The sequence below is a fragment of the Homo sapiens genome, chromosome 2 (genome assembly GCF_000001405.40).
Source record: "Homo sapiens chromosome 2, GRCh38.p14 Primary Assembly".
NCBI lineage: Eukaryota > Metazoa > Chordata > Mammalia > Primates > Hominidae > Homo > Homo sapiens.
Genome location: NC_000002.12, coordinates 67,784,972 through 67,811,280, shown reverse-complemented (window position 1 = coordinate 67,811,280; position 26,309 = coordinate 67,784,972). Strand labels below are relative to the sequence as shown.

The 26,309-nt window shown below is 40.6% G+C and overlaps 1 long non-coding RNA gene across 1 annotated transcript in view, besides 1 other annotated feature; it reads left to right on the top strand.

The window, feature by feature from the left end:
- The window catches only part of LINC01812 (long intergenic non-protein coding RNA 1812), a 29,509-nt gene extending 14,282 nt beyond the window's left edge, over positions 1 to 15,227 (top strand). The window contains exon 3 of the long non-coding RNA NR_110271.1: positions 14,683 to 15,227. This is a non-coding gene — a long non-coding RNA (long intergenic non-protein coding RNA 1812). The remainder of the gene's footprint in view (positions 1 to 14,682) is intronic.
- Positions 1,285 to 2,484: an enhancer, noted in NCBI's record as "MED14-independent group 3 enhancer chr2:68035929-68037128 (GRCh37/hg19 assembly coordinates)". NCBI's record gives its function as "activates an origin of replication core promoter dependent on BRD2, BRD4, P300/CBP and CDK7 cofactors, and independent of MED14, by STARR-seq in HCT116 cells {active_cell/tissue: HCT116}" and the evidence as "EXISTENCE:reporter gene assay evidence [ECO:0000049][PMID:35650434]".
- Positions 15,228 to 26,309: the final 11,082 nt, after the last annotated feature.

The window sequence follows — 26,309 nt, the reverse complement described above, 5'->3', positions numbered from 1 at the left end:
TTCATCAAGGATATTGAACTATAGTTTTCTTTTTTGATTATGCTTTTTCCTGGTTTTGTTATTAGGGTGATGCTGGCTTCATAAAATGAATGAGGGAGGGTTCCTTCTTTCTTTATCTTATGGAATAGTGTCAAAAGGATTGGTACCAATTCTTCTTTGAATGTCTGGTAGAATTCTGCTGTGAATCTGTCTGGTCCTGGACCTTTTTTTTGTTGGTAATTTTTAAATTACCATTTCAATCTCTCTGCTTGTTATTGGTCTGCATGGGGTGTTTAATTCTTCCTGATTTAAGCCAGGAGGGTTATATTTTTCCAGGTATTTTTCCATCTCTTCTAGGTTTTCTAGTTTATGTGTGTAAAGGTGTTCATAGTAGCCATGAATGATCTTTTGTATTTCAGTGGTGTCAGTTGTAATATCTCCTGTTGCCTTTCTTGGTGAGGTTATTTGGATTTTCTCTCTTCTTTTCTTGGTTAATCTTGTTAGTGGTCTATCAATTTTATTTATCTTTTCAAAGAACCAGCTTTTTGTTTCATTTATCTTTTTGTAAATATATATTTTTTGTTTTTATTTCATTTAGTTCTGCTCTGATCTTAGTAATTTCCTTTCTTCTGCTGGGCTTGGGTTTGGTTTGTTCTTGTTTCTCCAGTTCCTTGAGGTGTGACCTTAGAATGTCAATTTGTGAGGTCTTTTTGATGTAGGTACTTAGGGCTGTGAACTTTCCTCTTAGCATCACCTTTGCTGTATCAAAGAGGTTTTGATAGGTTATATCATTATCGTCATTCAGTTCAAAGAATTTTTAAATTTCTATCTTGATTTTGTTTTTGACCCATTGCTAATTCAGGAGCAGGTTATTTAATTTCCATGTATTTGAAGAGCCTGTTTTTGTCATATTACCAGGGTTGGTTTCCTTCTCATTTGGGTAGGCTCTGTCAGAGGGAAGGTCTAGGGCTGAAGGCTGCTGTTCAGATTCTTTTGTCCCACGGGGTGTTCTCTTGTTATAGTACTCTCCCCCTTTTCCTATGGATGTGGCTTCCTGTGAGCCGAACTGCAGTGATTGTTGTCTGTCTTCTGAGTCTAGCCACCCAGCGAGTCTATCCAGCTCTGGGCTGGTACTGGGGGTTGTTTGCACAGAGTCCTGTGATGTGAACCATCTATGGGTCTCTCAGCTGTGGATACTAGTGCCTGTTCTGGTGGAGGTGGCAGGGGGCATGCAGTGGACTCCATGAGGGTTCTTAGCTTTGGTGGTTTAATGCTCTATTTTTATGCTGGTTGGCCTCCTGCCAGGAGGTGGGGCTTTCCAGAAAGCATCAGTTTTAGTAGTATAGAGAGGGACTGACGGTGGATGGGGCCCTAGAACTCCTAAGATTATATGCCCTTGGTCTTCCGCTACCAGGGTAGATAGGGAAGGACCATCAGGTCAGGGCAGGGCTAGGCATGTCTGAACTCAGATTCTCCTTTGTCCTTGGGTGGGTCTTGCTGTGGCTGCTGTGGCAGATGGGGGTGATGTTCCCAGGTCACTGGAGTTGTGTACCTAGGAGGGTTATGGCTGTCTGCTGAGTCACGCAGGTTGTCTAGGAAATGGGGAAAAGCTGGCAGTCACAGGCCTCACCCAGCTCCCATGCAAAACAAAGGGGTGGTCTCACTCCCACTGTGCTCCCCGCAAACAGCCCCGGTCTGTTTCCAGGTGGAGGGCATGAGGGGATTGAAAACCTGCCCCAGGCTTTCCACCTCCCAGCTGCCAGAGAAAAGGGCTTGGTTCTTTCCCTGCCTGTGGAGTCTGCATGCCAGATTTGCTCACTCCCCTGAGTTATGGCCAGAAGGCTTCTTGCCCCATTCAAATTGTTACAGAGTTCAGCTAGAGATTTCCTTCTCCCTGTGGAGTTGTATCCCCTGCTCCTCTGGTCGGTCACCCACTGAATGGAACCGTGTGGTGCCAGGCAGGAATAGCCAGCTAGGGGACCCAGCAAGCTCCCAGGGCCTTTCTGCTGCTTCCTCTACCCCTGTATTTCACTCGACTCTCTAAATTGGCTCAGCTCCAGGTAAGGTCGGAAACTTCTCCCACAAACAGACCTTCATCTTCTCCAGTGGGAGTGTGTGTTTGGGAATGGAGGGTCTCCCTTTCCCACCTCTGCAGCTGGGGCACTCACAGTATTTGGGACGTTTCCTGGGTCCTGCAGGAGCAGTCTGCTTCCTTCAGAGGGTCTGCGGGTCCTCTCAGGATTGCTGGTTTGTTCTTGCAGTCGATCTGGAGCTAAAATTCACACTGCGAGCTTCCGTAAGCTGTTCTGTCTGGAGCTGCAATGTAGTCCTGCCTCCCATCTGCCATGATGATCTCTCTCTCTCTGCTTATGTATTTTTGAAATTATTAATTTAAAAATTAGTTAAGAATGTTCCCATCTCCTATTTTTCCTAACAGTTTTTACTTTAAATTATTGAAGGATTAAAACTCTATCAAATGCTTTTTAATGCAGTTACTGTGATAATCACATGATTTTTCTCTTTTAATCCTTAATGTGTTGGATTATGTTAACTACTATTTTTAGTGTTAAACCAAACTTAATCATGATGTATTATTCTTTTTATACACTGTTTTATTTTGTTTTCCAAAACTATGCTTAGTAATGCATGCAGTGCTCTTTCCTTGAATGATCCTTTTATATTGTGATATCAAAGCTCTGTTAGACTCATGCTCAGGATGTAGAAAAAGTTAGGAAGCATATGAAAAAGCAAGAAAAAAAAATACACCTTCAAAGACAAAGCAATCATCAGACCAGAATAAAATATGGCACAAATGTTGTAATTACCTGACAAGGATTTAAAATAAGCATAACCAGTACTTTGAAGGATCTAATGAAAAAAGTAAACAACATGCAAGAGCAGACAGATAATCTCAGCAGGGAAATGAAAACTACAAAAATCATCACATGGAAATACTAGAAATAAAAAATTCAATAAAAGAGATGAAGAATGCCTGTGTTGGGCTCATCAATAGACTTGACATAGCTGAGGAAAAAAAAAACAGTGAATTTAAAACTAGGTCTATAGAAATTATTCAGACTAAAATACAAAGAGAGAAAAATGGAAACAAAACAAAAACATCATAACAGACTATTCAAGAGTTCTGTGACAATACCAAACATTTAAACATATGTATATCTGGAATTCTAGAATGGGGGAGAGCAGGAGGAAAAAGAAGAAGGAGGAGGAAGAGGAAAAAGAAATGGAAGAGGAGGAAGAAGGAGGAGGAGGAAGAAGAAGTGAACAAAGAAGAAGAAGCAAACGAAGAAGAAGGAGGAGAAAGAGGAGGAGGAGGAGAAGTGAAAAAAATGGGGAAGGGGAAGTATAAGAGAGGAGGAGGAAGAGGAACAAGTGGAGGAGGAGGAAGAAGGGGAAGAAGAAGAAGAAGGGGGAGGAGGAGGAGGAAAAAGCAGGAAAAAGAAGAAGGAAGAGGAGAAGAAGGAGAAGGAAGAAGAAGGAAGAGGAGGAGAAGAAGGAGAAGGAAGAAGGAGGAGGAGGAAGAAGAGGAGGAGGAGGAGGAGGGGGAGGAGGAAAAAACCCCAAATCCAAATAACTTGGAGTCTGATATTCGAGGGCAGGAAGCATCCAACATGGGAGAAAGATGTAGATCAGAAGATCAAGCCAGTCTAGGCTTTCCATGTTCTCTGCCTGCTTTTATTCTGGCCATGCTGGCAGCTGATTAGATGGTGCCCACCCAGACTGAGGGTGGGTCTGTCTTTCCTGGTCCTGACTCAAATGTTAATCTCCTTTGGCAGCACCCTCACAGACACACCCAGGAACAATGCTTTGCATCCTTCAATCCAATCAAATTGACAATATTCACCATCACATGGAAAGTCTTGATTTTTCAGAAAATTTTTGATGACTTGGTGTTCCTTTTTATTCTTCCTATGTGTAGTGTCATCTTGATTACACTTATTACATGAACAAACCTCTACAAACCCTAGTTTGTAGCTGGCTGGCACCTCTTGACTTTCAGAGCGAATGACTGTCTCATCACTGTTCTATAGGGCATAGGTTTCAAACCGAAATGTTTAAATGATGGGTCAGTGAATGTACATGATGGAAGCATGCAGTGAGTATAACACACTTGATATTCTCTTGGTCTATCTCCCCACTTTTCATAGTGACACAAATAACAGAGGAATAGTTCTCTATTACAAGAAAAACAGCAGCAGAAGCCTGATGGTAAATGGCAACTGGCACTGGGTCTCGGTGTCAGGGAATCAATATGGAATGTTGGCAACTGGCAAACTGGAAAGCACATGCCTTGTCTAAAGGGAGCAGTTGTTATTAGGCAAGCTGATTGTTGCCAGATGAACTAATAAGCCTAAGTTTAATAGACAGATCTAGTTTTCAAGAGATGTTTGGAAATCAGAGTATGTATTTGAAATCTCTCATTTTGAATATGCTGTCAACTAAACCTATTTTTTTTTTAAAGAACAGTCGAGGCAAGAGAACATAGGTGGACCAAATAAGAAGTTTGTGTTTGCTAGTTTTCCTGTAAGCAGAATTATTCTCATGCAGACCTTTTGAAATGGAATCATATAATCAACATACAACTGAAAAGATCAAGGCTTAGATAGTTTAGCAGAAAGTTGAATGACACTTTATTAATCACATGGTATTTGTTGTTTGAATTAAAAATGCTTATATGCTCTCCTCTGAGCATTTATTTCAATTAGTGACTGATTTGGTTCAGAAAGTTGAATTTCAGTTTTTTCTTCAGGAAAAAGTGAAAATTATGAGGAGTAAAAGGTTTAGGGAAGAGACTAAGTCCCATTTGGACATCATAAGGTAGAAACAACCTTATTTTCATTTAGGTAAGCAAAACTTTGGTTTTCTTTAAGCAATATAACAAGAGAAGTTCTCATTTTCCAAGTGTGAAATGTTAACCTGACAGGGCTAAGGGACAAATATCAAAGTTAACATATGGGTTACATTTGCATGTTTTCTTTCATCACTGTCCTGAGAAACTGTAACTGATTTTCAGCTATATGTTAAAGCCTGTCTGTGTATGTAAGAGCAAGACTTCAGCAAGTTTGTTAAGTGCCTCCTTCAGTTTTGCTCCAGAATAGTGGAACTGTTTACAGAAGGTATGAAACCATGAGAAGTCTCAATCCTTTTGTGTAACTGTCTTGATTAATACATTGACAGGATCTAGTATACTGAGAATAGGAAGTAACTCATTCTTAGCTCTATAATTTTTTTTTTAGATGGAGTCTTGCTCTGTTGCCCAGGCTGGAGTGCAGTGGCATGATCTTGGCTCACTGCAACCTCTGCCTCCCAGGTTTGAGCGATTCTCCTGCCTCAGCCTCCCGAGTAGCTAGGATTACAGGTGCGTGCCGCCACGGCCAGATAATTTTTAAATTTTTAGTAGAGAAGGGGTTTCACCATATTGGCCAGGCTGGTCTCAAACACCTGACCTTGTGATCCACCCACCTTGGCCTCCCAAAGTGCTGAGATTACAGGTGTGAGCCACCACACTCAGCCAAAATATTTTTTTTTAACTAAAAGCCTCTGTGTGTGTGTGTGTGTGTGTGTGTGTGTGTGTGTGTGTTTGTGCATGAGGGTAGAGATAGGAGAGAAGGAAGATCTTGATGTAGTATTTAATGTACTTTTATATTTAAAGTGGTTCTTTGTAGACAACACATAGTTGTGTCTTATTTTGTATCCATTCTGACAATCTCTGACTTTTCATTGTTATGTTTAGGTATTTATATTTAAAGTGATTATTGACACAATTGGATTAATATCTACTTTATTTATAACTTTTCTTTTCATCACTTTTTCTTTTCCCCCATTTTTCTGCTTTCTTTCATTTTAGTTGAGAATTTTATATAATTTTTTTCCTCTTTTTGCATACCAAGGATACTTTTAAAAGTGTGTTTTTACACTTGTCCTATATTTGCAATATAAACTTACTAATCTAATTCCATTTTCAAATAGCACTACCTTACTTCATGTATAGTGCAGATATGTAATCATAACAGAGTATTTCCAATTCCTGGGGTGTAGACTTTTTTATTTCATTTGTTCAACAAAATTAATGTAGGATAAATTCTATGTCAGGGACTGTGCTAGTTTTGAAGAGTATGTTGATACATTGTAACCCTGTCACATTCTGCCCTTGTGGAAACTGTTTTTCAATGGAGAGACTGACATGAATGAATCTATCACATAGGTACGGATTGATAAATGCTGATCAGCTTTATTTAGTCCTAATGCAGGGTTGTGACTGTGAGGGCAGTTTAGAATCGCTTCCTCTGGGAAACTTCTCATTTCCCTGGGCTCATGTCTCTGTAGCCATTGGTTTTCCTGAAGATGACAGAGAAAAGCTAGATGACTTCTTGATCAAGAATTCTAAGAATCCTTATTTCTGAACTGAATCAGTTTTTGAAGGGCACAGGAAGTATAATCTGTCTTTTCTTTCTTTTTTTTTTTTGAGACGGATTCTTTCTCTGTCACCCAGGCTGGAGAGCAGTGGCGCCATCTTGGCTCACTGCAAGCTCCGCCTCCCGGGTTCACGCCATTCTCCTGCCTCGGCCTCCTGAGTAGCCGGGACTACAGGCGCCCACCACCATGCCCAGCTAGTTTTTTGTATTTTAAGCAGAGACGGGGTTTCACCGTGTTAACCAGGATGGTCTTGATCTCCTGACTTTGTGATCCGCCCGCCTCAGCCTCCCAAAGTGCTGAGATTACAGCTGTGAGCCACCGCACCCGGCCTATAATCTGTCTTGTCTTTTGACAGCTTTATTCTCACTACCCGCCCCACTACCCCCATTCCCCCCATATTGGATTATTCTGGAACGGTTCTTTTTCTTGTCTTCTGTCTCTTCCAGTTTTCCTCAAATCTGTAATAACAAGTAGTGGCAGGAGGGCTGATGAGTTTCACATGGGAAATGGGTACATGGTTTGTGGTCCTTCTTTTTTCCTTTCCCTAAAATTGACTTAAAGCTTATTTCAAATGAAATAATTTGCATAATTTTTATGGAGCATTTCTGAATTGGTAGCATGATAGAATAACCAGTTTAATACAAATGATAACTGTGAAACTGATTATTGCTGTGAAAAATGTCATCTTTATTTTTCTATAACTCACTTTACCCTGACTTTGAGCTTCTATATATTATGCCTGATGAAGAAAGCTTAATCTTGTCGCCTTTTTCCTTCATCGTCGAACTTGGATTGTCTTTCTTTTATCGCCTTCTTTCCTCAGCATTTATAATAAGTTGTATGTCGGCAGCTGACACTCTTGAGGTTGTTAGAAAAAAACGTTTTTATTTATTTATTTTATTTTTTTTAAACTCATCTATTTTGTTACTATTCTGTTATCTTTGAAATGTCACGTATCTCTTCTGACCCTTGGTCATGTCATGCATCCACTCTGGCACATATCCCATCCAAGATGGTACTTTCTTGGATCTGGTCTTTGCTGTCACCACTGCACCCATCAGAGGGGTCTCCCTTTTGTATCCATCACCATGTCTGCTGTTCATTCTCCAGACTGAGAGGGAGAGGCAGAGTACCATAGGTGAAAGGAGTGCAGGGGAACCTAAACACACTGACCAGCACTTCACAGGAGCATTATCAGGGTAACTTCTGGCTCATCTCTAATGGTCTATAGAGTTTTTTGAAAAAGGCATTGGCTTTATGGGTTAGGGCTATTTATGTTCAAATGATTTTTTTTTGTTTGACCATGGTGAATTATTTATTTTCCTGAACATTAGTTTCTCCATCTATAAAATGAGTATAATAAGATCTACTTTAGTGAATAACTGTAAGTTTAAATGAGATGCTATTTGTAAATTATGTGACATACTTCCTGGTCCATAATAGACCTATGTTCAACTTCTACCCTCTAATAATGATCTGTAGAATCTTAAAAAAGCAACTTCTTTTCTCTGGTTTTGAATTTCTTCCTTGGCAAAATAAGGTCTACAGTAAAGGTAGGAAGGAAGGGTGGGAGTGATGAAAAAGAGGAAGCCATTAAACCAAGTAATATTTGAGGTTCCTTCCATTTTTAAAGTTCTATGATTCTTAGTTGAGGGGACAGAGGGAGTCTGTTTTATTAAGAGAAGTAGCCAGTCCCCTGGAACATAGAGCCAGGCTTGCCATGCACTTCTGTGTGGTTCCCTGGCTCTGGGATTTCAGCAAAGGCCTTGGCCATGTTCTAGAGCTACAGAGTTTCCCTGGCTATAGCTGGTCACTCACAGCATTGGGCACACAGAGAAATGATGACTCTGCAAATGAAAAAAAACAAAGATGCTATTTTTTTTCAAAGAAGCTCCTAGGCTGTCTTCCTTCTTACTTCCACCCTCAAACAGAACTTTGAGAGGCATCGGGCATTAAGACATTCCTGCCAGCCAGGCATAGTGGCTCACACCTGTAATCCCAGCGCATTGGGAGGCCAATGCAGGATTGCTTGAGGCCAAGAGTTTAAGACCAGTCTGGGCAACATAATGAGACTCCATCTCTACAAAAAATTGAAAAAATTAGCCAGGCATGGTGGCCCATGCCTATAGTCTCAGCTACTTGGGATGTTGAGGCAGGAGGATTGCCTGAGCCCAGGAAGTGGAGGTTGCAGGGAGCCATGATCATGCCACTGCACTCTACCCTGGGAGACAGTGAAATCCTGTCTCAAAAAAAAAAAAAAAAAAAAAAGAAAAACTGCTATTCAGCTACCACTTGCTACTAATTTTCCATGAGTCTCCTCTGTGTCACTTGTGTTCAACTTATGGCAATGTTTCCTGAGAAACACAATCCTGTGGCTGAGCTGAGCACGGGGGCTTGCCTGATAATAATTAGCCTGACTTGGGTGGAATAGAGTCAGGCAGAGCCTGAATCATGCCCCTGACATTTGCTGGCTCTGTGACTTTGGAAAAACTTCTTATCCTCCCTGATACTCAGTTTCCTCATCTACAAAATGGAGATGTTGGGTACCACGTACAATCAAGCTCAATAGTAGCACAGTGAGTTGTGGTGAGGATCAGTAAGATAATGCCTGGGGCATTGTAAACCTGAGTCCTAATTCTTGTCAGGGAGAAGGCTGCCCTGGTGGCGGTTGCAGCTCTGTCACTTGTAGACAGGCTCTGGAGCAGGGAGCGGTTTCTGAGATGTGTCCCCTTTCCTGTGGTCCTCACCGCTGTCCTGAGGCTTGCTGATCCTGGGTTGCACTGAAGGATACAGCTCTGGGTTCCCTTCTTCCTGACTCACAGGGCCTGGGCGGGCCCCCTTCATTACATGATTTCTAGTCATCATGATCATCTTACTCGCGAAAAAGAAGCATGCTTTAAAATCATCTGGGGCTCTGTTGAATAGGTAAATACTATCCTAACCAGGGGTTTTTAACCTGGCATCCAAGGGCTTTGGGCTGCAAGTCTGTGAGTCCATGAAGTGGTCAGCCAAATTTTGACGTGAAAGACCATTTTTCTGAGGAGAGGTCAATGTTTCCCACAGTTTCTGAAAGGCAGCTGTGTCCCAGAAAAGGCTGAGGGCCACTGTTTTCCCAGCACAGTAGGCTTTGTTGATGATAAAAGTGCATTTGGCATGTTAAAAATCATACCTTGTGGGACGAGCAGAACTCTAAGGGGATCCTGGTGGTGAAGCCCAGAAACCAGGAGATGATGTGAGAGGAAGGCCACTGAATAGCCCAAGTGTGAGTGACTGGCCTCTGTCATCCTCCAGAGTGACTGGAAGGCAATTCTTTCACTCAAGAACAATTGAAGTCTACATGCTCCAAATGCAAATTATTTGGTGGCGACCTCCTAGAACAGCATAGAAAAGATAATTATTTTTTGGACTTAAAACTACAGGGGAGCTTAAAAATTACCTAGTCTATGACACAAAGGAGGCCTCAAGAGTTTAAGTGACTTGCCAACAAGCCAATGGCAACCTATGGCTTGAGTCGGACTCTCCTGAACTCCCCTTTCCATCTTCCTTTCCTGAGAAAATTCTTGTAATTATTAGCTGCTGCAGACTCACAGATCATAAGTAGTTGGCTATTAGGGAAAATGCACAGAAGTCTTCAAGAAACCATAGGAAAACTGTAGAGATCATCTGGTAGCAGAAGACTGAGGCAGGAGGACTGCGTGAACCCAGAATGGGGAGGCTGCAGTGAGCCATGATTGTGCCGCTGCACTCCAGTTTGGGTGACAGCGAGACCCTGTCTAAAAAAACAAACCAACAACAACAACAAAAACACACAGAAAACTTATGGCAATTGAATTCTGGCAATTGAAGCTGTCAGAATTTAGAATATCTCATTTTCCCTATGATTAGACTTCCTAACCTGGTCTAAACAGTTAAAAATTCTATGACAAAAAATTTATTTTTTTCTGACTATAAAAGCAATCTGGGAATATATAATAACAGGAAATTTTAAAAAGATGAAAGAAATCATTTGTGACCTCATAACCTTCATAACTAAGGGATAACTCCTCATTGTAACTTGGAATGTTAACTTTTGATTTTCTCTTCATGTGTGTGTGTGTCTCTTTCTTCCTGTAGCTTTTTCTCTGATGTAGATTTCGATCATCCTGTGTGAAGTGCATTGCATCCTGCTTTTTTCGTTTATCAGTGTATCATCAAATATCTTCCATGCCATTAAAGAAACTTTAAAAAAATCACATGTAAGGGTCACTGGGAGGCCATTACATGACTTGACTTTGATTCCAGCTTAATTTAAACTTGACCCTGTGCCTGGACATGTGTATCCATGGATACTGATATTCTAAATAGTGCTGTGATGAACATCTCCACCACAAATTTTTGTTCATACCTCTTATGACTTCCTTGGGGGTAGATATCTGGAAGTTGAGCTACTTGGGCAAGAGGCATGACCTTTTCCAAATCTCTTGATACCTACTGTCAAATTCAGAGACACTTTAAATGTGAAGAAAAGGTCAATGGAAAATGCTCTTCTCAAACTTCTTTTATGAGACCGATTTACTGAACTTGCTGACCCAAACCAGATTTTTTTTTCCTAACTTTAACATATCTGAAATTTGGTAATTATTAAAAAGAATCCTATGTATATGGTAGATGCTCAATGAGGTGATTTCTTATACATTCAAAAGGTAATTACTGAGTACTCACTGTGCTGAACAATGAGGGCAGTTGAGGATAAACAGATGATGAGAAAAAGCAACTCCCTAAATGATGATGTGTTTGAATGCTAGTGCTGACTGAGTGGAAACTTTGGCTTCCAGGCACCATCTATGCCTTAAGTGAGGTTTCAGAGGCTGTTAGGATTAGTTACTGTATTTATTTACACAGTTTATTTCTTTGAGTATTTTCCTGACCCTCCCTCAATTCTGAAGAAGTTATATAGGATCTCTCTCTCCCTTCTTCCATATGCTTTTCCCTGCTTGCTGGGAACAGTGTGGAAATACTTAATTTAGTGAGCAGTATTTGGGGAAAAAAAAACTATATATATATAATATAATTTGCCCTTTTTTCCAGAAAGACAAACTGCTTACCCTTTCTCCTGTCTCTGTCTGCTTTTACCAAGGGCACTGAAGTTTTAGAAGGGTGCAATAATTCATTTGTTCCCTACAGTAAGTCAGGAAGCATTTAGGAAATAGTCCTTTCCTCCCATTATGCACTCTATTCTCTCCTTCCCATTTCCTTTTTCTTCCTGCCTAATGGTATTTATATTATTTGGATGGAAAGGGGGCAATTACCCACATACACATGACCACTATAGCGATAAAAGTCATCTATAATGTGATAATGGGTGAACAACAAACTAAACTTCTTTCCAATAACACCAGCCACAATCTATGTTTAATAAGGTTAATGTCTTCATACTGCTATTGGCTGAGGCTAAGAATGCCAAGGACAAAAGAAAGACCAGCCTGAACCACGATTTTCAGAAATGACTGAACCTGTTTAGCATGCAAGCCCAGGGAAATGGCAAGACAGGTGATGTTTGGATGAAGCCAACCTCATTTTTTGAGCTTAGGCCTCCAGTGCAATCTGGGAAACCAATGTCTATTGAAGAAAGGTGTAGGCTTTTTTTATTTTTTTTTTGTATTTTTAGTTTGCTTATCTAAGAAGAAAGTGAGCATGTGCCTTTAATTACTTTATATGTATCCCTTTGCTAGAATCCAGTTTTACTGAACATTTAGAATGCCTTTGCTTTAAAAGCAAAAACTTGTTTGAATAAGGACTAATTTTTCAACATGTGGACAAATATTTGAATAACTGGTGGAAATAATAAATTACTAGCAGAAAGTGACTTCATTGCTCTTAAAAGCAAAAAAGCACCCTTGGGAATTTCAGAGAAATGACTCCATTTTCATATCACTCCCTGTGGTAGCCATTTGATCTCGCTCTGGGGTAGACTGGGATGCAAGTTTATTTTTAATAAGAGAGCACCTACGCATTTTCTCTGGGAAAACAAGCAGAAGAATGGACAGTGGGTGAAATCGACCAAGATCTCTAAAAGTAATGATTACGTTTTAGTTATTTTCTTCAAGGAAAACTTGCTTGTAGGCACTGCCTTGAAGCAGTGTTGTTCTTTCCAAGGAGTTTAACGAGTGCTCATTATTTTGGCCATTTGCACTTTCCTGTTTCTCAGATTCCAGCTGCATAATCCAATTACAGTTTGTGGATCTGGTTGGAAACTGGGCCAACAGGGGAATTCAGATTTTGAGCCATGTCAGTTTTGGGGAGAGAGAACTATTGTTGGATCCAGGATGGTGTTAAGAAGCAAGGCTCTGACAGAGTCAGGCCACCTGGTTTAATCTTGGTCTAGTTCATCCCAGCTTCAGGTTCTAGAACAGCGACTTAGCCATTCTTTGCATAAGCTCTCTGGGCCTCAGCACTTCATTTGTATGAGTGTCTGCCTCACAGGGTAAAGGAGGGGTTTAAATGAAACAATGCACATGAGGTGCTTGGCATGTAGCAACCAATGAATCTGTGTTACCTGATACTATTACACTGAAAACACAAAAATGGTAATCTTCTTGTTTCAGGATTGGCAGAATAGCACTCAGTAGATAAAACGAATACATTTGCAATCCACGTGTGGCTTTTTCTCTAACCTCACACACATGCAAACCACTCCTCACACATATCACTGAATTTTCTTTCTCTGGTGCACAGACGTTTTTACATGTTGCCTCTAGAGTAGGTTAAAAAGTTTATATTCTCTTTTAAGATGTTTTCCTTTTATCTGCCCAGTGATAATCATTTCCTGTACTCTATCTACGACATCATTTTCAAAATATGTTAGTGGCTGGTTTTTCTGGCATCAAGCCAATGTTGCTGGCCTGAAGTTTCTGGAATCAAAACATTAATTTCGGAAAGTCTTGCTAAAGGCTGGGCACGAGATGTGTACACAAAATATAAAGTACACAAAGTTGAGCATCCTAAAACACATACCACCTTGCCACTTGGATGAAGCCCAAGTTTTGTTGCATTTTCTGGCATTGAAGCCTTTTGGACTGGCACCCAAACCCAGCATGTTTCTCTATCTGAGGTCTCTGGACGTCATCCCCTTTAGGCTTCATGAATTCTTCCATGTGCCAGAAATAAATGCAAACTTTTGCTTGTTTGGGCATTTTACTATGAGGACTTGTTAGATTTCATTAGATTTTCAACATGGGCTTTGACCTAGAAAGGATAAACATCTTTGTCTTACCTGAACCTTCCTTCCACCCTTCTCGTGCTGGAATCCCACTGCTGCCTGTAGCCACATGCTCATCTCTACCCCAGGGTCTTTTCTCACAATATTTAACATATTCTGCTTTTCGACATGCCCACCCCCTCCTGCTGCATCAGCATTTGATACCATCATTTATTCTGTGACCACCTCCACAATTTTTGGTTCATCCTCTTATTACCTGAACAATTTTTTATCTAATATTTTTTCCTTCAAATCAACTATTCACTTCAATATATTTAAAAAAGAAACTAGTGCATAGGTAACAAAAGATAAGTACGAAAGTTGGAGAAGACTATGGCCTCAGAGAAAAAATATTTCTATTGTAGCAGAAATAAAAGCCAAAGACTGGTGATGTCAGAGGAGGGGAGAGGATGTCAGAGGAGGGGAGACCCAGAGAAGATTGGGTGTGGGGCTGGTCATCTCTGTTCTAGGGGATGAGAACAAAAATCATCAGGAAAACAGTGGGGACTAGGGATGGGCAGCAAATGAGGGAGTCTGGCTGACCTGTGGGAAAGGAGCTAGCACTCGTGTAGGAGAGAAAATGTGCATAGGGCAGGAGTGGGAAGGAGGGGAGCGGAGAGACAGGGTTTCGGAAATGGACACAAGGTGTTGGGTGAAAGATAGTGCCTAGGGTGAGGCTGTAAATGCAAAAGCTTTGGAAGCTGCAAAAAGATAGAGGCTGAAGAGGGGTAATGGGGGATGGGTGAATATGGAGGGGAGAGGTGATACAGGCTGGAGGCTAAGATTTTAAAAAGTGCATTTTATAGAGGAGGGTGTGGGAAGGGAGTGCAGAATGTCCCAGAATAGGGGTCTGAGGAGCTGGAGGAGACACTCTGAAATGGGCAGGGGCAGCATGTGTATATGTATATGTGTGTGTGTGTGTGTGTGTGTGTGTATGTGCGTGATGGGGAGAGGGTATGAAGAAAAAATGGGAACCATTTTCTTAATATTGAAAACTACTGCCTTACTGTCTTTTCTTAAATCTGGCACAGAAATCTGAAGACCCGACCTTACTATTGGCAAAGACAGACAAACACTCTACAAATAGTGCTTGAAAAATGCCACTGTTTGGTTCAGATGGTGAAGAGGAACTCAGGAAGGCCTGGCAGTCTCTAGGAGGCTAGGGCAGTGGTTCTCAAATGATAGGGTGTACAGAAATTCCCTGGAGGACTTGTGACAACAAAGATTGCTAGGCCTACTCCCAGGGTTTCTAATTCAGCAGGTCTGGGGATGGAGCTCAAGTATCTGCATTTCTAACAAGTCCCCGGTGGTGCTGATGCTGCTTGCATGGACCAGTTTTGAGAACCATACTTGGAGAAACACTTGGTTAGGAAAACTATGTCTGTTACAGATTGATCAAAGGGCTCTTAAGTTCCTTTTGTACAATAAATCACTGCGATATCAAATGAGGTAAATGAACATGCTCTTTGAACTCTTAACTTCTAGACCAATATAAAACATTCTAAATATGAAATGGAAACATTTACAATTGTTATTGATTCTCATCAATGCAATGTTCAATAAAGATAAGAATCACGTTTTCAGTCTCCACTCTTGATTTTCTGCTTTGATATGGATTTTTAGTTTTGCTTTCTTCTGATATGCTGGGATTTCAGATTTAGTTTATGGTGGTGGCCCCTTTATGGCATGAAGGAAGAGGGAATGCAGGGGAAGCCCAGGGAGATTTATCTCCCCGAGCCTTGGATTCAGTACAATTTTACAAGGATGCTATATCCTTATATCCATGATCCTCCCTTCTAGCTAGTCAAGGGCAGGATAGCCAGTGGTGAGGGAGAAGTCTGCTGATGTGAGCTAGGATGCTCTTTTGGCCTGATAGTCATACCGTGGGTGTCTGTAGAGCCCTCCTCTCTGCCTTCTGCTCACCAAGGTGGCTCCGGCCCTTCCTCTGGGTCTAGGTCTGAGCTTGGCGTGCCGGGAAGACACTTTGTGGGAAGGATAGGGCCCATTCCCAGAGCTTAACCAGAACAGATTTGACTGTGTCAGAAACTACTGCATCTCCTTGTGCATATCTCATGATAAATTCACACAATGTGCTTACCTTGATAGATGCTGGTAGGGTAAACAATAAGCTTTTAAATATTAGCATATATTTCATATTTTTCCTTGTTCAGCCTGGACAGAGTTGTCCTTGCTCTTGATAAAGGATTCCAGGAACTGAGGTGATGATTAAGAGTGTTGTTTAATTATGAAAAGGGAAATGGTCCAATCAGTAACTAATACAAATAAACAACAGAAAGGATGATGGATATTGACTTCTTAGTGCTCCTTGTTTTCAGCCATCAGTGAACTGAGTATGTTGTTTGCTGTAGCTGTCCATATTTGATGTTTCTTCTGTAGAAAAGAGAAAAATACAGATAATTAGGGTACATCAGAATCAGAGATTGAGTGCTCCGGGGTAGAGCTGCCAGATAAAATACAGGATGCCCAGTTAAACTTGAATTTCAGATAATGAATAATTTGCTGTATGGGACATACTTATCCTTTTGAAATTCAAATTGAACTGGGCATCCTGTATTTTTTATTTGCTAAATTTGGCAACTCGACTTAAGGGGGAGCTTTTGTTTTGGAAGCAGCCTTGATCAACACTCAAGAGTCAGTTACCACTTGTCCTGCTTTGCTCCATCCGGAATGTTGACATTCTCTAAGTAGAAAGATGCAAATCTGCAGGTGATATTTATGAATTTAGGTTGACCTTAAGAATTCAGATTCACGATCTTAGAGAAGGAAAAAAAAATCAAGGCTGGTATTGACAGGAAGCCAAAAGTGACCCTTTCTGCCCTTTTTATGGCCATCAGCTAATATAATCAGTTGGACACAAGCCGTAACCATTGAGTAACAGACGGGCCACCTTTGGATTAGCTGTGCTGCATTCAACACCTCTTTGAACAATAATTATAATCTGTTGGGTGGAAATATCAATTTAAAGGTCAAGTGCTTTCATAAAAAAGGTGATTATTCAGTATTTCATACTTTGAACCAAAGCACACACCAGAATTCACTGTATCACTGTCTTCTGTACAGCGCATATATGCTGAGAAATGGATTGCTTAATTATATGATTATCTGTCTTTAGGGAGGATATGTGAATGTGAATGGAAGCCGCCAGGAGAGGTACATTGCTTTACTTGTGATCCTTAATCTATATCTATAGCCATTACAGGTTACAAGTTGACTTTTAAAACAAATATCTAAAATATAAATTACTTTTACAATGCAAAGTAGGCGTTTTGGTGTAAAAGAGCTCCTTTGGCTGAAAAATGGACACATTACATGAGTGGGGCTCCAGGCTAACATCATTCCTTTCCATTCCTCTGGTTTTTAGCAATATGCCAGTCAAGAAGTGGGGTTGGGGGAAGGCCCATCCTCCTAATTAACTAGGGCCAGGAAAAAGGCCATGCAGTTAACCTTTGCACGTGAATCACCAAGTATAATAATAGAAAGAAAGACCTTCTTGTAGTGCATGAGAATTCCAGGAAAATCGATGGAGATCCCAGGAGCCAGGAGAGCCAAAAGACTGGAGATGTTAAGGATGTGCAGCAGCCAAATGCCATTAGTCTCTGTGTGTTTCCCCCATCCTCTGGGGTTTATTGTTGAGAGGGGGTTCCGTGTGCAGGAGAAAATTAAGACTGTAATGTAGGTGTAAGCTTAAAATATAGCAGGGAAGCTGGGTCCAGCTACAGTGGCACATGAGGTAGGTGGTGAAGGGGCAACCAGGTGCCAACAGTTCTTCCTTCACAAATCCAGCTCCAAATGACATCTTTGGCAAACTATTCCAATGGCCTTCTGATTTTTGGGCTAGTTTGGCTTTAACTTTGTGTTTCATAACAAGAAATAGTGAAGTAGTTGCAAAGGGTAGAAAACAAGAAACAAAACACTTGACAATTATGTTGCATTATGTCTCTTGACCAAAGCGTTCCATTGGATGTTCAATCCTGAAGAGAAATGCATTGCTTCTGTCCCCAAGGGCATCCAGTGACTTTGAACATCCTGTGCAGGGTCATTTCCTAATATGTGACATTGACTCCCCCTCACCTATCCTGTTCTTCATGGAATGCAAATAATATATGCATGTGTATCTATAAATCAAATTCATCTAATTACTTCCTTATCTCCATGAACTTATTTACAAAATGCAACATTTTTGGAGGGAGAAAATTTGCCAAGGAGCAGCAAAAGCTTCTCACAAAGCTGAAAATATTTTACGATCCAAAGATGAGCACCAGAGACACAAGAATAATTCGTTCTGTGAAGATTGCCAAGAAAAGCTTGTTTTGAAATCCCTGTGCCCGTGATTACATCATGCCAGGTGAGGCATCCACCTTTGGAAACAATAGATAGACATTTGCTCTTCTCGAACTCTGCTGCCTGGTTTCAAAGGGCTTTTTATTTTATTTTTTGCCTCTTTTGGCTCCGAGTGGCGGTAACACATGGTAAATCTTTAACTTCAAGTGTCCTTCTGTGGTGACCAACTAAAATATTAGCAAAATAAATGTTTTATGGGAAAATGTTGGCAGGAACCCCAACAGAAACAGGTGGTATTGGGTTATTTCAATATAATGTAATGATATAGCCAGGTTTCCATCTGGACAGCATGTGGTTGGGTCTGCTCAGAGAGTATCAAAGAGTGTGAGTACGCACTGGGGAAGGCAGCGGTGCACAAGTGTGCAGCTAGATGGCTACTTTACAAAATAATAGTCTGGGTTTCAGGTCCTCTGGGTTAAATATTTTTACTGTCAAAATCTGAATTTCTTCATAAAATATTAAAGGCGAAGCAAACCTCTGACATGCAATACTGAGCGGCGTAATTATAAGGCAGTTCCTGGAAACCAAAGAGAGCGTGCATTAAAGTGAGGCGTTTATTATAAAAGAGTTCATTACCCTTGGAAGCGAAGACATGTTTTAGAGGGAGTCTCAGAACAGAGAAGCTTTTCTTTTTTTTTTTTTTTTTTTTTTTTTTTTTTTTTTTTAGCAAGGCTTACTCTACTGTGAAAAAACGCTGAGGGGTGTTGGTAAGGATACAATTAGAAAATAAAGACAGAATGGGATTAGTTGACTGCTAAAAACCTGATCGTGATCCAGGGCTAAAATGAAGTATCCTTAATTTACCACCAGGGAAGACTCTCCCTCTTCCATAAAATTCCTGCTTCAGGCACTTCAAAACACATGGAATTAAGAACACTTGGAACATTTGGTTTTGCACTCAGCTATCCTCACTGTATATTCATGCTAAGCTCGATAATAAACTCTTGGCTCAATAACTCCCCGTATGAATCCCAGAGAGGGGAATCAAATTATGGCTATGTGCAGAGGTAGATCCTCTTCATAGGCAGAGAGACCTCACTCCCTGGCTCTCTCAACCATAGCCAGAGGAAGAAGACTGGAATATTGCATACTGAGAGTAAAACAATTAGGAAGTGGCTTGCAATATCCTTGATGCTGACTAGAAGACCCAAGAAGTCATGGGAACAATCTGCCAAAATGAAGGAGCCATTTGGACCCCAGGGTACATGGCCAGGAAGGCTTGGATTCTAGGGAATTCTTTGCAGCCATTAATTGATAGTGCAGCAGACATAGAGATACTGAAAGCAAATGCCTAGGTATGAAATCTAAGGACTGATGGATAAAAATGATGGAGCAGGGAAGGCTCAGGAAGAAGAGGTAATAAAGTCAAAGCACTTAATTATAGTGCCCTCATGCCACTGGGACCCAGAAGGGGCATGCATTCATGAGACTCTGGCCTGCTACTCAAAGAGCCAGCTGCCCTACAGTATCTACTGCATTTTTCTAGATCAGTGGAGAGAAACAGAGGAGATGGCATGATGAGAGACCTGGAAGCCCCAGGTCTGATTCTTTTACTATTACTTTTGTGGGGCTGGACTGAAGCCAAGAAGAGAATGGTGCCCTAGAGGATAAGGCAAGAGTATAGCGTGGTCCCTGCTTTACTTGGGAAAATGATTTTCTTCATCTGGAGCATGATGATATGAAACAGTAACAGCACATCTCAGTTCTTCCTTCTAAAATGTATTGGGACAGCTATTGAATGCATCATAGGACTTTGGCTCCTGGGTTTCTAAAAGGTGGTAGCAGACATAGTCTTCCTAATGGGGAAGTTTGTGATACAATGGGGAAGAGTGGATACCAGAGAGGAAATGGAATTTGAGCTATCCCAGTCAAGAGACTACTTTATTTTACCCCTATCCTGTGGCATATAGTAACTGCTAAGGTACAGGCTGAACTGAACTAGGCTAGAAGACAGGGTTTTGCAGGTATCTGATGATGTATCTTAGAAGTTATGTCTAACTCCAAATACTGAGTCCTTTCCATTATACATCAAACTACCTTCTACCCCTATAATATTTCTAATAAAGAAATATTAGAGGGAATGTAATGATTTAAGAGAGAGGTGGAGAACTTGGTAATAAAGACCCAATTTATGCCTCCGATTTAACTGCTTGGCTTTTTAACCAGGTAGTATTTTTTTTTTTTTGGTCTTTAGAAGTTATCTGAGATTGGGACAGTTTGTTAAATTAATTGCACAACCATTGAAAACTCTCTGAGTATCTTACCCTGGAATTCTTTCCTCCACTGTCCTTTTCTCCTGAATCCCAAACTATCAGGACCTCCAAGTATAACAACACTAGTTCTTCCTTAAGGGAAAATAAATACCTTAAGCCATGGAGTAAAGTGAGTCATCTTCTGTGAGTTAGGGAGGAAGCTGGAGCAGAGTGTGTGTTCTGCATGTGGGGAAGGCAATGATGTTGACCTGTGGTTGTGGATTCCTCTCCCTTTGCTGCTGGCTTGTGGTGGCTTATATTAATAGGAATGGGGTGAAAGGGAGGCTAGAAGCTTTGTGGAGAAAAGCCGTGATCTGATTCATTCCCCTCGAATTGTCAGTGGGCTCTACATAGTCTGGTTGAAGGGAGGAAGGTTGCCTCATGAGCTAGGTTCAGGCTGCTGAGGAAATTTTCCAGACTATTCCTTAATATTGCAGTGAGAGCAAATCAGGTGCAGTTGTAGAATTTGTGTGGTCATTCTGAGATCTAATTGAAAAGGTTGCTAATGCCTAATATTGATTGAGCACTTACTATATGCAAGACCCTTTGCTAAGTGCTTTGCAGGTGAGAGAATTGAAGCTTAACCAGGTTGAAAAACTGGTCCAAGGTCACAAAGGTAGGAATGGTGAGTTTGAATCAAGTCTGACTCCCAAACCAAAGCTCTTAACCACAATGCTAAAGTTACAGACCAAATATAGTGCATAAGAATGTTGTGAATGTATACCATATCAATGGCATAAGTTGTGGCTCAGAGTTAACTATTTACAAAAAGTTGGAGGGTTCTTTCCTATTGTCATGGCAAAATAAATTTCAGATAGATTAAATGTGTAGGTTAGTGACAAAAGCAAAACACAAACCAATAAATGTAATGGGAGAAAATGTTGAATAAATGATAACTCGAGGCAGGGAAGGGCTTTATAAGAGGAATAAAAATATGAAAGAAGAGGGACAGGTTTGGCTATAAAAACCTTCTAAAATTTCCATATGTCAACACTATGAGGGAAGTTAAAAGACAAAGAGTTGGGAAAAACATATATAATCTATATGTCACCTAAAAGGTGCATATCCCTAATGCATACAATATTCTTGCTAATCAAATAGACAAATATCCTAATAGAAAAATGGATAAAGACCATGAATAAATAATTTGAAAGATGAAACACAAATGTATGATAAACAAATGAAAACAGGTTCAATCTCACTAGCAATAAGAGAAATTAAAATCAAATTGATATGCCTTTGTTTGGTCTTTTAAGTTGGCAAAGAGAAAAAATGATAATAAAGTTAGTGAGGATGTAAGGAAAGTGACCATAACTTGGGGCATTTACATATATTACTGGTAGAGTGTGATTGGTGCAACTTATTTGCAGGACAGTTTGTCAGCGTGTATGAGCATTTACAATTTGTTCACATCCATTGTCCCAACAATTCTATATCTAGCAATTTGTCCCAGAAAATATGAATGTGAGCAATGACTTCTCTCTGAGGGCAGGCATTGAAGCAATGTTTTGTTTTTGTTTGTTTGTTTTTAATTTGTTTTTGAGACAGGGTCTTGCTTTGTCACCCAGCCTGGAGTGCAGTGGCATGAACATGGCTCACTGCAGCTTTAACCTTCTGGGTTCAAGTGATCCTCCCACCTCAACCTCCTGAGTAGCTGGGACCACAGGCACACACCACCATGCCAGGCTAATATCTTTTTAGTTTTTTTAGAGACAGGGTCTTGCCACGTTACCCAGGCTGGTCTTGAACTCCTGGACTCAAGCAATCCTCCCACCTCAACCTCCCAAAGTTCTGGGATTATGGGTGTGAGCCACCACGGCCTTCTGAAGCAATATTTTACTGGTAAAAATTAGAAACAACCTGAATACTCAATAATAGAAGATTGGCTAGAGTAAACATATTTGATGGAATATTATTCAGTTACTCAAAATAAGTTTGTAGAATATTTAGTGCCATGAAAAATGTTCAGTATGTATTCCTTAGTGAAAAAGCAAGCTATAGGCCGGGCGTGGTGGCTCATGCCTGTAATCCTAGTACTTTGAGAAGCCGAGGTGTGTGGATCACCTGAGGTCAGGAGTTCGAGACCAGCTTGGCCAATATGGTGAAACCCCGTCTCTACCCAAAATACAAAAATTAGCTGAGTGTGGTGGCAGGCCCCTGTAATCCCAGCTACTTGGGAGGCTGAGGCAGGAGAATCACTTGAACCCAGGAAGCGGAGGTTGCAGTGAGCTGAGATCACGCCATTACACTCCAGTCTGGGCGACAAGAGTGAAACTTTTTTTTTTTTTTTTAAGTGAGCTACAAAGTAGTATACATTTTTTCTAAAAATTATATATGTCCATACCATTTCTAACATGACTGACAAAAGAAACACCAAAATGTTAATAGGGTCTAGGGTCTAGCTCTCTGATCAAGGGAATTGTGTTTTTCTTTTTTCCTTTGTTGTATGTTTTCCGATAATTTGCAAATTATTTCTATAATTTTCATAAAATTTGAAATTATATGCATAAAATATGTAATCTAAAACAAAATGGTATTAGAAGGTGAAGGTGGACTACCTATTTTCTATGTAGTTTGGTAAGACATAATATGCTTGTGTGTAGGGACAGGGCTAAGAATCAAGTGCTAGAAAATACATCATTTCAAATTGTTGCTGTCATTTCTATTTTTTTTTTTTTTTTTTGAGACAGAGTTTCACTCTTATTGCCCAGGCTGGAGTGCAATGGCGCGATCCCAGCTCATTGCAACCTCTGCCTCCCGAGTTCAAGCGATTCTTCTGCCTCAGCCTCCCTAGTAGCTGGGATTACAGGCATGTGCCACCACACCTGGCTAATTTTGTATTTTTGGTAGAGGCTCCATGTTGGTCAGGGTGGTCTTGAACTCCCGACCTCAGGTGATCCGCCTGCCTCAGCCTCCCAAAGTGCTGGGATTACAGGTGTGAGCCACGCGCCTGGCCTTTGCTGTCATTTCTGAGCATATGATTGAACACATAATTACAGTTTTGGAAAATCCAGGATTTCTAAGGAACACAAAGATGAATATAATGGAAGTCCTACTTTGTGATTTCTAAGTGAAGGCAGGGGGTTACTAATTTACTGATCCCATGAATATCAAGATCTAGACAACTTAACAAGGTGCTAAGCTGACCTGGAAATGGACTCAGCCCAGGAAGCAGAGGTTGGCTGGGTTCTTTCCATACTCTCCAGTGTGAATTGGACTGAGATAGCTTCTCCTAAATTCATGATTTCAGGTTCCAAGTCCTTATTTAATCACATTTAGGAACAGGTTAACTGTCTGTCTGTCTGTCTGTCTGTCTATCTATCTATCTATCTGTCTATTATCGGTCTATCTATGAATGAATGAAGGTATGTGAGGAGGTGGGAATTGTAAGCCTTTCGGTTTGTACTTTTGAGCAGAAGTCTCTTGCTTTGATTAGTTAATGCACCAATTTGGGTTGAATTTATCAGCTCTGTTGAAAATCACTTTTTCAAAAGAGCTTAATTAGCTATTTAATGAAGAAATCTACTTTGTGGTGAAAATTCATGGCTCGTTAAGTCCTGGCTGGAGACTGTGGAAGGCAGGATTGGGATTCTTTGCTAGTGGTCTACTTAGTCCCACGGATTGCCTTTTGGTGTTCTAGAGCTAGGAAATGGAGTTCTGCATTGCTTACTCCCAGATTCGGAACTTTGAGCTTTCAGGGTGGGCTTTTGATATTAAATAGAATGATTAACCTGTCACTTTTGCTGGGAAAGGATTGCTAGCTAGCTGGTGGAGTTCATTTACCATAATCTTATATTATCTTTGGAGAATTCAGAGAAGCTAATAGTCCCCTTTCCCTCTCCCTCCAAGTGTTTCTTTTCTGTCAGTGTCTTTATTTTGTGCATTTCTTTGCACGTTCTCTGTTAAATACCAACCTGTGCTCAAATGAGCCATATTTACTAATTAAATGAAGGCATTTACATTTTATTTCTCCTTTTTTTCGATATGAACAAGTCCAACCCATCGATTGCATCTGTATATGTAAAATATCAATTATTTATTTATTATTTTATAAAGATTTTAAATAACATGAGAACAGACTTCAGAAGACTAGTCTGTTTACTATCTTGAGGGTTGTTGAACAATTAATTTCTACTTGTTAAGTGTTAGTCAATCCATGTTATGTCAGCAATATAAGGTAAGCAAAGTTAAGACAGAAATATTGTGTAGAATGGTATCAAATATCTCATTAAAGTTTAGATGAGGCTGGGCATGGTGGCTCACACTTGTAATCCCAGCATTTTGGGAGGCTGAGACAGGAGGACCACTTGAGGCCAGGAGTTTGAGACCAGTTTGGGTAACCCAATGGGATTCCATCTCTACAAAAAAATAAAAAATAAAACAAAAGCCAGGCATGGTGGTGCAAACCTGTAGTCCTAGCTACTGGAGAGGCTGAGGTAGGAGGATCCTTTGAGCCCAGGAGGTCGATGCTGCAGTGAGCTATGATTGAGCCACTATGCTCCAGCCTGCATGACAGAGCAAGACAGTGCCTCCCCCCACAAAAAAAGAGATGAATTCTTTTTTTTTTTTTTTCCATTCTAGGTACCTAAAATGAGATATGGTGAGGCAAACTAGGATTTGAATTTATCTTGGTTAATATATTTCTCTATTGCAGAATGGTTCTTTTCTCAGGTCAGCCCATCTCAGTTGCCTCTTCATGGGAACCAGAAATGAGACACTGTATTTCTATTTAATCTGGCAGCCAAGAACCATCATACCTCACCAAGGGGATAGTAGAGTGGTATGGAAGCTCTTTGCTCTGGCTTGAAAAATGCAAGCACCTTCTGCTAGATAAATCAATGTGTGGTGGCCCCAAATCAAATGTCTTCATTTCAAAGTGGCTGGACTTTCTTTTAGAGCTATGGGAAGGAGAGAAAGTCTAGAGGATTGGAGAAAATCCAAACCAGTTCATCAGCCCTTAATGTTTTCAAGCATGTTTTATTTTGCTATAGTGTCTAGTAAAGAGTTTAAGACTGTCTTGGTGAGGGACGAAAAGCAGAGCTATTTTAGGACTGGTGACTTCATAAGCTTCAGAACGTGGACCCAATTAAGCTAGAGACCTTGTAGAAGGTATGCCTTTGGGGTATTTATTGCAAGTCCAGAATATTATAAAATTAAATAAATTATTCTCTCTGGAAGGAATATCTACATTTTCAGCCATGTATGAGTAACATACTAGTTTATTTGGGGTAGGTAAAGCTTAGTCCTTTGCATTTTTAGCACAGATATGGAATACTTTTCTTCCAGGGTCCTTTGTGCATAGCGCAAGTCTGCTTGGGGTGTGTATAAAAATGCAAAAAATAGTTGCATTTGGCTACTAGTAACATAGATTGGTAATAACAGTGACTTACATAACTTACATTTTTTTTTTTTGCCCCTCATGCAATAGAAGACCAGAGAAAGGCAGTCTCTAGGCTAATATGGTGTCATCAGGGTCCCAGGTTCTTTCCATCTTCCTGTCCCTTCATCCTCAGCACATGGCTTTCATCCCCAGGGCTGCCTTATGGTTCCATCTGATTGTTGGGTTTCCAATACCACTTCTATACTCAGGAATGGAGTACAGGGAAGAGGAAAGGGTGACAGGAGGAGATGCCAGCTGTCTGTGCCTCCCTCAAGGAGGTTTCCTGGAAATCTGCTTCAACAATTTCCATTTGTGTATCGTTGGCCATCCTGACCTGCAAAGACATATTTTAGCAGCTGGGCATCTACAACTGGATTCTTTCACCAAGGAATACAGGAGAATGCATGTTGACTGGGTTACCAGCTGTCTGCCACAGCAGGAGGAGTTCCAGTGGCCATTGTGAAGTATTTCCTGAGTGCAAACCTGCCTGTCACAGCTCCCATCCTGAAGGCTTTAACTCCCTAAGAACTGGATCATCTATAAAACAGATGAAGCTCAGAATACTCACTAGTTTGCTGTTGGATACACAGCAATCTAAAGAGAAATTGGAAATTGGCCCACTAGAAACAGACATCAAAGGCAAGAGCAAACTAAAAGCCCAATT